The sequence below is a fragment of the Homo sapiens genome, chromosome 6 (assembly GCF_000001405.40).
Source record: "Homo sapiens chromosome 6, GRCh38.p14 Primary Assembly".
Classification (NCBI taxonomy): Eukaryota; Metazoa; Chordata; class Mammalia; order Primates; family Hominidae; genus Homo; species Homo sapiens.
The window spans coordinates 160,055,419-160,072,661 of NC_000006.12; the positions used below are offsets into that span (position 1 = coordinate 160,055,419).

Genomic DNA, 17,243 nt, shown 5'->3' on the forward strand with positions numbered 1-17,243 from the left:
AGCACAGGAAATACACTCACTGAAGGAAGAAAGGGCCGCTCTCCCAGGGGTTTGCAGTCACAGAACTTTCACAGGCTAAAGCTCAGTCCCTTTCACAAGCACATTGTGAAGTGGAAGGAGCAGGTGTGTTTTTATTCTACTGCTAGTGTTGCTGAGGCCTGGAGTGGGTGGGGGCTTTCAAGGGTAGAGAGCCCTTGACGGCCAAGGGTGTGGACTCAGTGTTAGTGGCTGTTGTTCCTGAACCCGTGACCCTGGGCAGGTGTCTTAACTTCCTTGTGCCTCAGTTTTCTCATTTGTAGGCTGTGTTTGTGGGTCACTGTGAGGCGCAGTTGAGAAATACTAACAAAACTCATAGTGCAGTCCTGGTGTGTGATAAACACTCCCTGATCGGCAGCTACCATTGCCTGTGTGGTGGTGGTGCTCTCACAAAGCTAATGGCTCTTTGGGGGAGCTTTTTATGGAAACATACACACCGAAGGGCACACAGATGATAACGTGACACAGCTGGGTGAGTGTCCATAAACTACACATCAAGAAAGAACATGCTTCCCCCTAGGAGCCCTCCTGTGCCCTCTTCCTGCCACTGCTGAGCATCCTCCTGACCTCTGACAGCGCAGGCCATTGTTGCCCAATCCTGAGCTGATGTCAGTGAATCCTACGTACCGTTGCCTTTGTGTATGGCTTCTTGCATTCAACTTTTTGTGTAGGGTACTTTTCAGAACCTTGAGCTCAGACCTAGGTTTGGATCTGAATTCTACCATTTACTGCTGGCACGATTTCTATATTTCTGAATATCCAAGCGTAGGAGATTATTTTGTCTTCATAGGGAGAATGAGAACATTAAATTCTAATTAGGTAATGCACATTAAGTGCCTAGCTTATTGGCTGACTCATAATAAACATCTAGCAGATTTTGGCTATTTTTATGTCTCAGGCGAGTATTCTTTTGGTTCTATCAAGTTCCATGTTACTGTATTGACTTTTACCCTGGATTTGCCCATTCAGAACAGCCACCCCATCTTTTCTCTCAACTGGGAGTGTGTGGTCAGTTTCCTGTGGAACACAGAGGCTGCCTGTCCCATTCAGACAACGACGGATACAGACCAGGTACGTGTGCTTTCACCTGGCCCTCGTGCTGAGCTGCCTGCTGGACATCCTCAACTCACCCCAGTGTTCCAGCTCTGAACCGACCCCTGCCCCTTCTTTCTGAATCAGTTACTATGTTGCATTGACAATGGGTGTCTGCAGGTCACCCAGAGTTCCTCTCCACTCCGCAGCTCCCAGCTCCTGGGATAAGAACCAGGTCCCTCAGTCTTACTCTCTGCTCACTGTAGTTTCCTTCCTTTTGTTTCCATTCCTTTGTGCCTTCCATGTGGCAGTGGTATCCTGGTGGGCTCTGGGGCTTCTGCACCACCGGCAGATGTCTGACTAGTCGATACGTCACTCCACACCTAAACCATCTCAGTGCCTGTCCCCTAGAGGGTAGAGCCCGTATGTTTTAATGTGACCCTATCCATAGAGCACAGCCTGCAGGTGTTAATGTGATCCTGTCTATAGGGTAAGGCCTGTGTGTCTCTCACCTGTGCATAGGCCAGAGCCCACAGGTGTTAATGTGATCCTGTCTATAGGGTGAGGCTTGTGTGTCTCACCGTGGCCCTGTGTGTAGGGCAAAGCCCACAGGTGTTAATATGATCCTTTCTATAGGGTGAGGCCTGTGTGTCTCACCGTGGCCCTGTGCATAGTGCAGAGCCCACAGGTGTTAATGTGCCACTTGAGTCTCTCAGTGCCTACTGGCTCCTCCCGCCTTCTGCCCGGGTCCATGCCCTCCACTTGTTGAGTGCACCCTGCAGGGCATAGTAGTAAGCTGCTCAGTGACGTTCTCTCTGACCTCCCCAAGGTAGTGAGTTGTTTTCACAGCACCGTGTATATTTCTTTATGGTGGGACCTGTTTGCCTTCCCACTTCCTGTTCTAAGCTACACTGCAGACTCTGGCAGCAGAGACCAAGGCTTTTCCAAACCAACGGCCCCAGCACAGGGTCCTGGCTTTGTAACTGCTCAGTGAGGGCAGGATGCCAGGCACCCTGTTCATGGACAATGTTTCTGGGGCTGTGGCCACCGTCTCCTTCCCTGCATTCAGTGGACAGAGGGAGGCCCAGGGCAAAGTTAAATATGGAGAGGAGAGGATATCATTTGACAGTCACCTGGTCATACTTCCCATGATTACCTTAAGGGAATAATTGAGACAGAAAACAGAACATGAGATTTCTTAAGATGTTTATTTTCTTTAAGAAACTAATTTATGAGTCTTATATTTCCTCTCCAACTTTAGGGAGTAGCAATAGTCTTCTTAGGGAAATGCAGTAGCCTTAACAGCTTCCAGGTGAGTGTAATTTCTGAGTCTGGGCTCACACTTGGTATACTTCAGGGTGGTGTATTTGAAGAGGCTACATGTAGGGCTACATTTTTGATAGGGATTTTGAAAGTAAATGGAGAAACAGTTTTGTCAGGTGCATACTTGCAGGTTTCTGGAGGTGCTGTATGTATGTTATGTTCCTGTGGAATTGGTTTGAATGCGCCCCTTTTTCCCCATTTTGTTTCCTGTAGGCTTGCTCTATAAGGGATCCCAACAGTGGATTTGTGTTTAATCTTAATCCGCTAAACAGTTCGCAAGGATATAACGTCTCTGGCATTGGGAAGATTTTTATGGTAAGAGCGATATGATGCATTTCCAGTTTGCTTTGAAACAGGGGGAGAGTGCATTATTGAAGTCACCTGCACGTGGTGATATGAGAGAATTGCCCAGGCCACTGTGGTGGCAGCTCTTACTCAGAAGGAGATGGGAAAATCCAGATTTAAGGGAAAGATGAAGTAAAACCATTTACCACCATTCTGGCACAGTTCAGACGTGAAGACTGTTATTCTTCAAATAATAAGTTGTTCTCTTTAAGGAAACACTTTCTAAAGGTAGTGCTGAAGCCTGTACTCATTGTCCATTGGTCTCTCCTTACTGTATCTTCACACCAGAGAGCATAATTGACTTCATTTTTACAACTATAATATAATAATTTTTAATGGAATAACAAATTTAAGAAATGTAGGGTACCACTTTATATTTACTTGTAATTAACATGATTTCAATGATACATACTTTCTCATAATTGAAAATATTATAACATTATGACTTCTGTGTCTTCCCTCTCTTATATATGGTACATTATTACATGCAGTAGATCTTACACATTTATAGATACGGGGATGTATGAATTTAAATGATGTATAGATACTAAACCTTAAAGGCAGTTTATAGATACTGCCCTTTGGACTTATGTACTAACTGTACTAACATGCCAGAAAGTGGAAAGTTGGCAAGTTAACTAACAAATAAGAAATGTTTAACCTAGTGGGATTTGGAGTTGCTAGGGTTCTTGTCTGTGGTGAGATACGAGGCATAAATTTGTTTGTATGGCTCTTACCGTCTGACCTGCAGTTTAATGTCTGCGGCACAATGCCTGTCTGTGGGACCATCCTGGGAAAACCTGCTTCTGGCTGTGAGGCAGAAACCCAAACTGAAGAGCTCAAGAATTGGAAGCCAGCAAGGCCAGTCGGAATTGAGAAAAGCCTCCAGCTGTCCACAGAGGGCTTCATCACTCTGACCTACAAAGGGCCTCTCTCTGCCAAAGGTGAGCTCAGAGCCATGTTGTTTTGTAGCTAAAAAGGGCCCTGGTGGCTCTGTGGCTGGCCATGCACCTTCCTGAGTGTAGGATGTGCACATCCCCCGCCACCATGGGCTGTGCTGTCCACCTTGCTGCAGGAGCCATCACGGTGGTCTTCCTGCGTTTGACCTCGCAGAATACAGGGGTCCCGTTATCCGTGGCTTCACTTTTGTGGTATCACATGGTCCGAAAATAATAAGGTATTTTGTGAGAAAGAATGAGAGAAACCACATTCACGTAACTGTCATTACAGATATTGTTACAGTTGTTCTGTTTTATTGTTGATCTCTTGCTGTGCCTAGCTTACAAATTGAGCTTCATCCTCTGTATGTGTGTATAGGAAACAGCATAGTATATATAGGGTTCTCAATTTCAGGCATTCACTGTGGGTCTCGGAACATATCCCCCCGCAGATAAGGGGGGCTGCTGTAGCCTGTATTCAACACAGCAGTCAGAGTGATGTTTCTGAAACATCACATCATATCACTTCCCAGCTCAGAGCCCTCGGAGGCTCTGCACTGTACCTAGAGTAGAAGCCAGTGTCCACAGTACGGCCATGGGACGCCCGTGGGGGCTCTCTGAGATGATCACCCCCTGCTGCTCTTCCCGCTTGGCCCGCTGGCCTCCCTGTTTCTGATATAAACAAAGTGCACTGTCTCCCACCCTCCCCTCTTGAATCTTTGTACTTGCTCCTCGCTCTGCAACCAGCACAGCTGCAGGCAGGGGTTTTCGTCTGCTTCATTCATTCCGATACATGGTAGGAACTTAGTATTTGTTCAATAAGCCAACGAATTAGAGTTACATTGTCTTCTAATGCTTGGATTGGTAAACTCGTGGGATTTAAATATTTTCTGGAAGAGTAGGAATGCCAGGATGTTAGGCTTATGGTAGAAACCTGTCATAACATAGGCCGCTGTTGCAGTGTGTAAAGCTGTCATCACATAGGCCACCATTGCAGTGAGTGTGTAAACCTGTCATAACACAGGCCACCGTTGCAGTGAGTGTGTAAACCTGTCATCACATAGGCCACCATTGGAGCGAGTGTGTAAACCTGTCATAACACAGGCCACCGTTGCAGTGAGTGTGTAAACCTGTCATCACATAGGCCACCATTGGAGCGAGTGTGTAAACCTGTCATAACACAGGCCACCGTTGCAGTGTGTAAACCTGTTGTAACACAGGCCACTGTTGCAGTGAGTGTGTAAACCTGTCATAGGCCACTGTTGTAGCGAGTGTGACCACTTTGTTCATGTCGAGTCCCTCGATACACACTTGGTGCCCTGGTGTCATTGCTCCCACGAACGGCTGTGAAGCTTGTTGCCAGTGGCAGCCTTGTCCTGTTGCTGCACTGTGCTTGTGGGCTGCGCCATGAATACTGTTCTGTCTCTTAAAATCTGGGCCTTCTTGCTTTACAGGTACCGCTGATGCTTTTATCGTCCGCTTTGTTTGCAATGATGATGTTTACTCAGGGCCCCTCAAATTCCTGCATCAAGATATCGACTCTGGGCAAGGGATCCGAAACACTTACTTTGAGTTTGAAACCGCGTTGGCCTGTGTTCCTTCTCCAGTGGACTGCCAAGTCACCGGTAAGGCCGTGCGGCCTAAGAACTGAGAGGCCGGTCAAGAGTCAGTGTGTGTGTGAGTGGATATGAAGGTGTGTTTCTGTGTGTATGTATATTTGTGTGTGTGTGGTGTGTATGCTTGGTTATGCAGGCAGCGTGACATTTCTGTTATATATTCTCTTTGAATGATGCCTAGAGTTGTAATGTTTTTCTTGAAGAGAATCTGACTATATAGTTAATGGTTTTAAGCTATCTTTTGGGATCAGATACATCTTAAGAACAGAGAAGAAAATGCAGAGGAAACACATTTCACATGTACTGTCAGAGCTTCTTATTTGAGGGTGAAAAAAAAAGAAAAAGATGTTAAACTCCCTAAGCTGTGCCCTGGAAGCTGACAGTGTATACAGGAGACCTTGACCTCTGGGATTGACCCTGCCTGCTCTGCAACAGTGGTACTTCCTTGTCAAGGGCAGTGGGGGTTTGGCTTTTTTCTTTAAAGAGTCTTTAGGGACTCACTATGTTGCCCAGGCTGGCCTTGAACTCCTGGTCCTAAGTGATCCTCCTGCCTCAGCCTCCAAAGTAGCTGACTACAGGCGCATGCCACCAGGCCCGGCTGTGAAGGGCAGTTTTGAGGGACAGAGTGGGTGTGTTTTGTAGGCAAAGCCTCTCAGCCTCCCGTGGATTTCCTTATCCTCACAGTTAGGAATGCCAGGTTCACGCCTCCTCAGGGCTTATTTAGGGTGAAAGGCAGTTCTTGAGTGCTCACAAGGAGGCAGAGTTCTCCAGCGTGGTTTTTTGTTGTGTTTCAGACCTGGCTGGAAATGAGTACGACCTGACTGGCCTAAGCACAGTCAGGAAACCTTGGACGGCTGTTGACACCTCTGTCGATGGGAGAAAGAGGACTTTCTATTTGAGCGTTTGCAATCCTCTCCCTTACATTCCTGGATGCCAGGGTGAGTTCTCCTTGGTCTCTTGATTGGCGTCTGTTCATTTTATTAGAGCATTTGACTCAAGGTCATCGCCTTCCTCATGCCCAAACCACTTATTCTGTTCTTCCAGGCAGCGCAGTGGGGTCTTGCTTAGTGTCAGAAGGCAATAGCTGGAATCTGGGTGTGGTGCAGATGAGTCCCCAAGCCGCGGCGAATGGATCTTTGAGCATCATGTATGTCAACGGTGACAAGTGTGGGAACCAGCGCTTCTCCACCAGGATCACGTTTGAGTGTGCTCAGATATCGGTGTGTGTTCAGACCAGCAATGAGATGTTGTCCCCGGGTGACTCCATTTCCCATTTCCCTTGAACCTCTGAATCTTCTATCTTGTTTAAAACTTGCCTGTGTTTTCGTGGAGTTTCAGCCATTGCTAGGGTTTGACGAGAATGCACTCATTTCTTCAGGTCTTAAATGTTTAATAAATGTTACGTAGTTTGCACATGGAGGTCAAAGATTGGGTACTAACTGTGGCTATCATTTATTTAATTTTTTTTTTTTTTTTTTTTTTTGAGATGGAGTCTTACTCTGTCACCCAGGCTGGAGTGCAGTGGTGCAATCTTGGCTCACTGCAACCTCCGCCCCCCAGGTTCAAGTGATTCTCCTGCCTCAGCCTCCCGAGTAGCTGGGATTACAGGCACCTGCCACCACGCCCAGCTAACTTTTGTATTTTTAGTAGAGACGGGGTTTCACCATCTTGGCCAGGCTGATCTTGAACTCCTGAACTTGTGATCCACCCGTCTCGGCCTCCCAAAGTGCTGAGATTACAGGTGTGAGCCACCGTGCCCGGCCCCATTTGATTAATTTTTAAAATAAACAGGAAACAAATCAGGCTGCTGATTTATATTACAGGGCTCACCAGCATTTCAGCTTCAGGATGGTTGTGAGTACGTGTTTATCTGGAGAACTGTGGAAGCCTGTCCCGTTGTCAGAGTGGAAGGTAGGACTGGGCCTGTCCCTACAAGTCATTTTAAATGTATAGAGTAGCAGACGTTCTGAACGATGCCTTAGATATGAGACCGTGTGATAACAGCCATAGCTGGGGTCATGAGACACACGCTAGGGGGAGGATAATTTCTTTTCCTTGAGCTTTTTTTTTTACTGAAGCATATTGCTAATTTCACGAGTGACATTTTCCTTGTGTGCCTGGATTGATGGGATTTTGGCGTCTGATGCTTGAAGACACTAATGTGGGGTTTGGTTTTGTGTTGTTTGATGAAGCAAGTCTTTATTCGGGGACCTAGACTTTCCTAGAAAGCTGTTTGCCAGGCGATTTGTATTATATATAAACAAAATCATGTGGAAATGGCTTTTAATGCCCATTTATAGCTGGTATTTACCTAACCAAAAATTGTAAAAGTTTTTTTTTTTTTTTTTGAGACCGAGTTTTGCTCTGTTGCCAGGCTGGAGTGTAATGGCGCCATCTCGGCTCACTGCAACCTCTGCCTCTTGGGTTCAAGTGATTCTCCTGCCTCAGCCTCCTGAGTAGCTGGGACTACAGGGTGCCTGCCACCATGCCCAGCTAATTTTTGTATTTTTAGTAGAGACGGGGTTTCACCATGTTGGCCAGGATGGTCTAGATCTCTTGACCTAGTAATCCACCCGCCTCAGCCTCCCAAAGTGCTGGGATTACAGGCGTGAGCCACTGCGCCCGGCCATTTGTAAAGCTTTTTGCTTGAAAATGTGAATGCGTGTGTGGTTGCAGTTGCCCTTCACTTCTTCCATGTTCTTGAAGGGGACAACTGTGAGGTGAAAGACCCAAGGCATGGCAACTTGTATGACCTGAAGCCCCTGGGCCTCAACGACACCATCGTGAGCGCTGGCGAATACACTTATTACTTCCGGGTCTGTGGGAAGCTTTCCTCAGACGTCTGCCCCACAAGTGACAAGTCCAAGGTGGTCTCCTCATGTCAGGAAAAGCGGGAACCGCAGGGATTTCACAAAGTGGCAGGTACCATTGTTTGTCGTTTTCCTTTTGTTGCAAAGGAATGGAATTAAAATATTAAAATATTTTGCTGAAGATGAATTTTCCCTTGAGTCAGAAACATGAGTGTTCTACTGTAAAAAAAAAAAAAAGCATATTAATGATATTTCGGATTTTGCTTGATTTTCTTAAACAGAGTACATACTGAAGGATGTTGGTAGAGCATGTCTATTTTATTCTTAGTTAGCCATGCCAGTTACTGACTCTAAGGTCATATTTCTCTTCTTTATTACAACGTTGGGACACAGTGAGCTAGCCAGTGTTGGATGTTCTGGGGTAGTACTTGATAGCATTGAGTCACAGGGAATGCATTTAGTACGAGGTTTGGCTGTAGAAATTACAGGGCACGCTGTTGGTCATTCATGCTGTTTCAGCAGTTGGGCAAGATTTAAATACATTTAGGAACTTGTAAAAATGAAGTCAAAGTAGCTGGTGGTGAGTACGTGGACAGCCCTCAGGCACAGTGGAGAAAGTGACATTCCCTTAGGTGATGAGGCTAAGGAATGCCTCATGTCATCATACACGGGTCAGTCTGTGACGTTGCAGCAGCCTTGGACAAGGGGAAGCCTGATTTTATTCCCAAAGTGTAATGTGACAGGAGTGCATGGTATGGTGCTGGGAGGCCAGGGATACTTTGTCTCACACTCTTCAGGGTGTGTGGTGTCACATGTCTTAGGCTAAGTTTGACAGCCTAGGGACCCGAACCAAACCTTGTTTAATGTTCTCCTTCTTTACAGGTCTCCTGACTCAGAAGCTAACTTATGAAAATGGCTTGTTAAAAATGAACTTCACGGGGGGGGACACTTGCCATAAGGTTTATCAGCGCTCCACAGCCATCTTCTTCTACTGTGACCGCGGCACCCAGCGGGTGAGCATGTACCGACGGCCCTCAGCGGGGTCTTCTCCCCACCCTCAGGCTGCTGGGATCATATTAGAAAGAATCTGTCCTCAGATCTCATCAAATCTCCTGGTTAACTGAGTTTAAAATAACCATTTACAGAAAATATGTTGAAACTTTCATCAGTTAGTATTGATTTTCATGAACGTAACCATTCTTTACTATTTTCATTCTTAAAACTCAAAGTATAAACTAAAGTTTTGCATTCTCACTTTTATATATGTGCCTCTTAACTTTTTTAGCCAGTATTTCTAAAGGAGACTTCAGATTGTTCCTACTTGTTTGAGTGGCGAACGCAGTATGCCTGCCCACCTTTCGATCTGACTGAATGTTCATTCAAGTAAGTCCATGGATGTGTTGTCTCTTTTGGACAGACTAACTTGGTATGATTTTGCTTTAATAATTAGTGGTCTTGGGTGCAGGGGATTAGATTAGTCAGTTAATTTACCTAGGACTCGGTTTGCTCATATTAAAATGAGGAGTCGGGCTAGGTTAACTCTCAGCTCCGTCACCACCTGGAGCTGCTGTGGTGACTGCATGGGGAAGGGATTGGAGCTGAAGCAGAGAGTGGACCCCTGGCACTCTTGCGTGATCCACATGTCAGTGAGCAGAGTGGGCCAGGAGCGGTGTGGTGACCCCTGCGATGAAGGGAGGTCTTCGTTGCATGTGATCGTCCACAGAGCTGCTCTCAACAGCTTTGCCAGATCGCCCTCTGGACACCTGGGGTCCCATCCTTAGAGATTTTGGTTTTGTGGGTCTGCGGTTCTGTTTTTTGGAGGGATGCCCTGTGTTCTGCCGTGTGAAACACCCAGTATGAGCCACTTGATCACTGTTGACTTTCCTGGGGGAAAGTGCAGGTGATTCTGTTTCCTTCCGGCCTTTGTCCTGTTGTGTCATCGGTTATTTATGTAGGTGAAATCATCATTTAAGTTTTAGGAACGTATGTAAATGCAAGCATTTAGTAATTTATGTTCAGTGACTTTAAATCATAATTTTAGTAACCTTACCTTTTCCAGTTAACATTTTGTAAATATTTTCATGTGAAACAAATTTGTTTCTCATTTCTACTGGATGGGAAATGTCCTCAGTAGATATCCCCAGTTCACTTAGCAGTTCTCTTTCTGCCATGTGAGGCTGCCTTCAGTTTTCTGATATTTATATACAAGGAATAAAATTTTGATTTTCTTTGCACATAAAGCATTTTTCCTAGAGATATGTGTATGTGTGTGTGTGTGTGTGTGTGTGTGTGTGTGTATATATATATATATATATATATATATATATGTATTTTTTTTGAGATGGAATCTCGCTCTGTCACCCAGGCTGAAGTGCAGTGGCGTGATCTTGTCTCACTGCAACCTCCTCCTCCCTGGTTCAAGCAATTCTCCTGTCTCAGCATCCCTAGTAGCTGGGATTACAGACACCACCATGCCTGGCTAATTTTTGTGGTGTTTTTTTTTTTTTTTTTAATGAGACAGAGTCTTGCACTGTCGCCCAGGCTGGAGTGCAGTGGCGTGATCTCGACTCACTGCAACCTCCGCCTCCCGGGTTCAAGTGACTCTCCTGCCTCAGCCTCCCGAGTAGCTGGGATTACAGGCGCCCGCCACCACACCTGGCGAATTTTTTTGTATTTTTAGTAGAGATGGGGTTCCACTATGTTGGCCAGGCTGGTCTCGAACTCTTGACCTCGTGATTCGCCCGCCTTGGCCTCCCAAAGTGCTGGGATTACAAGTGTGAGCCACTGAGCCAGCCTATTTTTTGTATTTTTAGTAGAGACAGGGTTTCACCATGTTGGCCAGGCTGGTCTTGAACTGCTGACTGCAGGTCATCCTCCGTCTGCCTTGGCCTCCCAAAGTGCTGGGATTATAGGTGTGAGCCACTGCGCCCGGCCTTCCTAAAGATATTTTTATGCTAAGTTTTTAAAAGTAGAATTAAATCAGAGGAGAATTTTATAATCTCATAATAAAAGTTAATATATGTCTATTGTAATTGAGAGTCCAAAAATATTAATAGATGAAATTACCCACCCTCACCTCTCCCTCCCCAACCCCTAGCTTCACTCCACTTTTTACTGTTTCTTCTTGTGGTTCTTTTTGGAACCTTCTATAACTCTAAACCTCTGTTTGTCAGCTTCTAATGGTGTCTGTTGACTCTCTTTTAAAAGATGAAAGCTGTCCTCACCTGTGCTGTTCTCCTCTCCTCTTTCCTCTGCCTTGGCTTTGTTAGTTCTATTTCTGTTTCTTCTGTTGACTACTTTTAGAGCATTTGGTGATATTCACTAAGCTCTGTTCTTGTCCCATCACCTTCAGGCAGCTTTCCCTTCCTGCCACCTGCCCCTGGTTTGGGCACTCCTCCTCTCGTGCGTGCAGTACTGCAGCTGCCACTCCGAGGTCTCCTTGCCATGTCCCTTGTCACACGTTTGGTTAGTCCCACACAGTAATTAGAATGATCCTCTTGAGATATAAGTCCCACCATGTCGCTCTTGCTGAAACCTTCAATGCAGTGAGCGCCCATCTCATTGGGACCTACAGGCTGAAGTTCTTCCTCTGATGGACATGACCCCCGTGTTGTCTCTAATAACCTCACTTTCACTCTGTTCCAGCCACACGGGGTTTCTGTCTTTCTCGGGTCATGTCGGGCTTATGTGCCTCGGGCCCTTTGCTCATGCTGTTCTCTGCCTGGGATGCGCTTTACTGGGTGCCAGGATGGTCAGTGATTCCATTTCTCTCAGAGTCTATTCACAGGTCCCCTTCTCGGTCACGCCTTCTCTGGCTCCACTGTCTAAAATTTCAACAGCTGCCTCTGCCCCCCGAACTTCATATCCCCCTTATCTGCCTTTTTTCCTTCAGCTCTTACTTCCATCAAATACAGTATGTATTTTTAAAAGTCTTATCTTGTTCACGGTCATTTTCTTCCACAGGTAATTTTGGTAAACTTTGTAAGATTGATGATGTTTAATACTGTTTTGTTTAATACAGTACCCCCAGTTTAGCACACAGCTTTTGAATGAATGACCAGTTTTTATTCCCCTCTGAAGCGCTAAGAGCTGCCGCTGAGGTGGCATCTGTAGCTGCTCCCGTTCCTGCTCCGTGGTGGCAGAGTGTGTGTCTCACTCACTGTTAATATTGCTCCTGGCATGGGGTTGGTTCCCAGTTACTGTCTGTATTTGGGATTTGTGTAGTTAGTGAACCTTTAGCCTGTGCAGAAAGGTCAGCAAGCCCATTTTAATTTCAGAATTTCAGTAACTGCTGGCGGCCTTGGTTTTAAACAACAGGTGGCGTGCGGCTGCCCCGGGCATGGCCCCTGCTGTGTGTGCTCCTAGCATCTTGGCTGCTTACCTTTGTCACCAGCAAGTTCCACTTCTCAGTGGCCTGAGCACAGACGGCACGCACTTTGCAGACTTGAGTTTTTCTGTTAAAATTTAAATTTTTTTTTAAGTGAGCCTAATAGTTTCCTGAACTATTATGTTCAGGGAAGTTATGTTGTTGCTGATTCTGATGGGGGGTGTGTGTGTGTGTGTGTGTGTGTGTGTGTGTGTGTGTGTGTGACAGAGACAGAGAGAAGTCGAGTCTAAAGTTCTGTCAGGCTTAGACTATGCCTGAATACTTGAACGTTTCTAGACAGAGTGCCCAATGTTTAAAGAGAATACGACCAAGCCTAACTAACTGCGGGTTTTCTTCTTTTCAGAGATGGGGCTGGCAACTCCTTCGACCTCTCGTCCCTGTCAAGGTACAGTGACAACTGGGAAGCCATCACTGGGACGGGGGACCCGGAGCACTACCTCATCAATGTCTGCAAGTCTCTGGCCCCGCAGGCTGGCACTGGTGAGAGAGGGCCTCCTCGTGGGGTGGTGTTTGCAGTGAGTGTATCACAGGCCAGCACTGGTGAGAGGGGGCCTCCTCGTGGGGTGGTGGTTGTAGTGAGTGTATCACAGGCTGGCACTGGTGAGAGAGGGCCTCCTCGTGGGGTGGTGTTTGCTGTGAGTGTATCACAGGCCAGCACTGGTGAGAGAGGTCCTCCTCGTGGGGTGGTGGTTGTAGTGAGTGTATCGAAGGCTGGCACTGGTGAGAGAGGACCTCCTCATGGGGTGGTGGTTGCAATGAATGTATTGAAAGCTGGCACTGGTGAGAGAGGGCCTCCTCGTGGGATGGTGTTTGCAGTGAGTGTATTGAAGGCTGGCACTGGTGAGAGAGGGCCTCTTCATGGGGTGGTGGCTTGTCATGAGTTTATCAGGGAAGATCAAGTAGGATGGGGATTCTTTGGAGGCGCTTTACTCTCTGCAGCATGGACGTGGTTCGGCCGAGAAACAGCAGGACGAAGAATGATTTAAGGGTGTTAACAGTTGATCCCTAGTATGGCCCAGGGTAAATCAGTGCTGAGGACTGCTGGGAACATGATAACCCTTTCTGAACATGAGGAGATGAAGATATAATAGATAGAAATAATAGCCATGGTGAGGAATCCTTCTTAGCAGGTAGAAGATGGGGGGTGTGACGTGGAGGTCTTGGTGTGTGCCTGCGTATGTTGAGAGTTGTATGGTCGGTCCTTTTGTGATGCAGGGACAGCTCACTCAAACCTGCGGTGGTTGGCTGAGACTGGATGTCAGCTGTACATGGGAAACCAAGGGCACCTCCAGGGATCTTGGTACCACTCATGGCCCCTCGGAACCCTGAAGATGAAACTCATCCCATGTTCGTGGAGTTTCATACAGCCCCACCTGCATCTTGGGTGGCTCACCTCAAAGGCGGTGTGGTTATTTTTAGCTGCAGAAGGTGGTTCCATCCTCTGTGTGGTTTGAGGCTGTGGTTCCACTTCCCCTTGCTGCGTTGTGCTGTGCAGACTTCGACAGTGGCTGTACCCCTGTGGCATGGGACTAGTTCTTCACCCAGGGCACATGGCACAGGCATTTTAGGGACTGGGAAACAGGCAGAATTCTTGGTAGCTTCTTGAATAAAGAAGGTGCATGGACGTAGGCCATTTAAAATGTTCCTCTGTCTTAATTTGGGAATATAACCTTCATCCTATATGGGGTTCAGAAAGAATTTCGACTGCTACAGCCTAGCTATTCCTCTACACTCACGCCCGCCTGCCCCAGTCCATCTGTGACAAAACAGCATGTAAGTGAGTGAGAACTAACGTGATGTCATTGTCATCTGACTTATGTGAAAGAAATAGCAGGTATTTTGAAGTGACTCTTAGAAAGCGTATGAAGTTCTGCAGCGTGTGTGACATTTATTGCCTGATGAAGTTCTGTTCTAGCCTGGGGAGTCACTAAAGGCAACTCTTTCTTGTGTCTGGTGCTGCAGAGCCGTGCCCTCCAGAAGCAGCCGCGTGTCTGCTGGGTGGCTCCAAGCCCGTGAACCTCGGCAGGGTAAGGGACGGACCTCAGTGGAGAGATGGCATAATTGTCCTGAAATACGTTGATGGCGACTTATGTCCAGATGGGATTCGGAAAAAGTCAACCACCATCCGATTCACCTGCAGCGAGAGCCAAGTGGTAAGGGACTGTTCCTGCACCTTCTGCTGTTGCAGCTTTGGGAATTGAGCCCATGTGCAGGGCGGTGAGCCGCACGTCCTCATCTGCCTTGGGATGCGAGTTCTAGAGCCTGGGATGATGCGCCCTTACCAGAGGTTGGGGGAACAGCGTCGCCGCGGCCTGCAATCTGGGGAACCCTCGTGCTGTCTGGCTCCTTAGAAGCTTGCCTGGCAGTTCCCGACTCAGAATTGGTTCTCTTCAGAGTTTGACTCAGACCCCTAAAGGCTGTGGAGGAGATTGTTGTTTGACTACATGCCCTTTTGTCTTCACGGCGGCAGCTTGGGAAGCACGAGAAGGTTGGCTGGGCCCGGGTCACAGGTAGCGCTGCCACTTCCCAGCCACATAACTTGGTTAATTACTCAGGTAGTCTGCCCTGCTCAGCCGTTCATAACATGAGGCATACTTGTCCTGCCCATTGCAGGGTTTCGAGAGAAGAGGTAGGAAGTGCCAGGTGTCATTTCTGACACACGGGAGATGCACAGTCAGTGAGCATGAGTGCCTGTGATCAGTTCTTCCCTTACTTGTTTGGCATGCACGTAAGCAGGTGTCGACTGCATACAGGTTTTTCTGTGTGTGAGATTGTGGTGAGCCCCAGTGCTAGCGTGCATGACAAGCTCGGTGGCTGAGTTGGGCATTAACTCGGGCAAGACCAGCTCGCTGGGTGTCAGGGTGGCTCGCCCCATGCTCTCCAGCGGTGGGCAGCAGTGGTAGGGGAGCTTGGGATGGGGGGCTCCAGGAGCTTCAGGCCTGCCCTCTTGCCTGGAGCGGCAGGGAAGTTTCCTCTTGGGAAGATTGTGCAGAGGCTTAGTCCAGACTCATGAGCTGCTGGGGCCTCTGAGCATTCTCCTCTGTGACCTGAGAGGCTCATGGCCGAGGACAAAAGGGCTGCCCCACATGTGGGGGGCAAAGGTGAGAGGGTGTGTGGGGCCCCTGTGCCCAGGGCCCAGAAGGCTGGGAGGGAAGGGTGAAGGGGTGTGTGGGGTTCCCCATGTCCAGAGCCCAGGAGGCTGGGAGGGAAGGATGAGGGTGGTGTGTGGGGGCCTCTGTGCCCCAGACCCAGGAGGCTGGGAGGGAAAGGTGAAGGGTGTGTGGAGGCCCTGTGCCCCAGACCCAGGAGGCTGGGAGGGAAGGGTGGGGGTGTGTCGAGGCCCCTGTGCCCAGGGCCCAGGAGGCTGGGAGGGAAGGGTGGGGGTGTGTCGAGGCCCCTGTGCCCAGGGCCTGGGAGGCTGGACTGCAGCGTGGCTTATCAGGGTGCCCAGCAGGAATCATGGGGTTTACCTGGGAAGGAAGGTGCTGCTGAACTCATCATGCTAACTCTGCAGTGGACATGAAGCGTTTTGAGATGAGCAGAGTAAGCCTTGGCTGGTGCCAGTGGGAGGATGCGTGGAATGGGCTAGTTCTCTTGGTATATCTTTTTGTTTTGACTGTGATAATGGATTTTACCTCATTTGGTTTTTAGAATTTTATCAATGATTTACACATTTGTGTCTCCCTGTAGCCCTTCCAGCATCCTTTGCACGCCTGTCCCCAACCCCTGTCCTGTTCCTCAGCCTGAGGGAGCTTCCTGGTCCCCTAAGTGTGTTGCTGCCTGTGGGTGTTTCACTTACCTGCAGGGGAAGCCCATGGTGGCAGCTCAGGACACATTCTGACCCTTTGCTTTTCCTAATCTGCGCCTCATCCCACAGGCACATGGAGACAGAAATGTCACATGCTGTGGAGTTTTTCAGAGAAGCTTCCACTTGTAAGTTGAAATCATGATAGACATGGAGTTTTTGCGTGATCCCTTCAGGACCTGTCTGTGCTTTGTTGTAGAACTCCAGGCCCATGTTCATCAGCGCCGTGGAGGACTGTGAGTACACCTTTGCCTGGCCCACAGCCACAGCCTGTCCCATGAAGAGCAACGAGCATGATGACTGCCAGGTCACCAACCCAAGCACAGGTGAGAGGTGGTGCCAGTCGTTAACCCCAGCGCAGGTGAGAGACGGTGCCCCCACCAAACCCAGCTCATCAGGGGAGAGACCCAAAGAGAAGCTATGGGCAGCAGGCGCCCTGGGCAGAGGTGTCATGGTGTGTGGGTGTGTTTGGCCTTTCTCTGGATGGGCTGCTGTGTGTTCTCCTGGCTCTCCTTCAGTGGAGGAGAGAATGCTCCCACAGAGAATCCATCCCTCCTGTCACTCTCCTGGTGTGAGAGGTGCTCCTGACTGGGGTTACTGACAGTGTCAGTCCAGCAGCTCTAGGCTCTCCAGGGCAGGTTAGAGCTAGCCCCTGGCTGCCTTTCAGCATCAGTGTAGTGGATTGCCAGGAGTCTCTCACCTGCCCTTGTGCTGGGCACCCAGAAAGGCACAGGCACAGTCCATTGGCAGCAAGAGGTGTGCTGGGCAGGCTCTCCCCATGCCCACCAGACTCTTAGTGGCTGCTGTGGTATGGCCCAGCAGAGGGTGCTGTGAGCCACGATCTTTTCAGCTAAGGATGGGACATCTCATGGATCAAGGGACTGACAGTCTCATGATACAGCCTGGCTGTTGGTGGAGGATTTAGGACAGGGGTCGTGGTGAGAAGTCAGA

General features: G+C 48.3%; 1 protein-coding gene and 1 long non-coding RNA gene across 2 annotated transcripts in view, besides 1 other annotated feature; both read left to right on the top strand.

The window, feature by feature from the left end:
* IGF2R (insulin like growth factor 2 receptor) overlaps nucleotides 1–17,243 on the top strand; it is a 142,423-nt gene that overhangs the window by 86,337 nt on the left and 38,843 nt on the right. Inside the window, exons 20-32 of the mRNA NM_000876.4 lie at nucleotides 1,006–1,107; nucleotides 2,605–2,706; nucleotides 3,488–3,680; nucleotides 5,129–5,299; nucleotides 6,085–6,228; nucleotides 6,335–6,510; nucleotides 7,114–7,201; nucleotides 7,997–8,212; nucleotides 8,983–9,113; nucleotides 9,386–9,483; nucleotides 12,831–12,967; nucleotides 14,450–14,640; nucleotides 16,492–16,618. Of these exons, the coding sequence (NP_000867.3) occupies nucleotides 1,006–1,107; nucleotides 2,605–2,706; nucleotides 3,488–3,680; nucleotides 5,129–5,299; nucleotides 6,085–6,228; nucleotides 6,335–6,510; nucleotides 7,114–7,201; nucleotides 7,997–8,212; nucleotides 8,983–9,113; nucleotides 9,386–9,483; nucleotides 12,831–12,967; nucleotides 14,450–14,640; nucleotides 16,492–16,618 (1,876 nt within the window). The remainder of the gene's footprint in view (nucleotides 1–1,005; nucleotides 1,108–2,604; nucleotides 2,707–3,487; nucleotides 3,681–5,128; nucleotides 5,300–6,084; nucleotides 6,229–6,334; nucleotides 6,511–7,113; nucleotides 7,202–7,996; nucleotides 8,213–8,982; nucleotides 9,114–9,385; nucleotides 9,484–12,830; nucleotides 12,968–14,449; nucleotides 14,641–16,491; nucleotides 16,619–17,243) is intronic.
* LOC124901451 (uncharacterized) lies at nucleotides 13,484–14,127 on the top strand. Its single transcript, XR_007059841.1, has 2 exons — nucleotides 13,484–13,596; nucleotides 13,703–14,127. It is a non-coding gene; the product is annotated as an uncharacterized LOC124901451 (long non-coding RNA).
* Nucleotides 13,967–14,036: an enhancer, noted in NCBI's record as "active region_25401". NCBI's record gives its function as "activates an Ori minimal core promoter by ATAC-STARR-seq in GM12878 lymphoblastoid cells {active_cell/tissue: GM12878}" and the evidence as "EXISTENCE:reporter gene assay evidence [ECO:0000049][PMID:35858748]".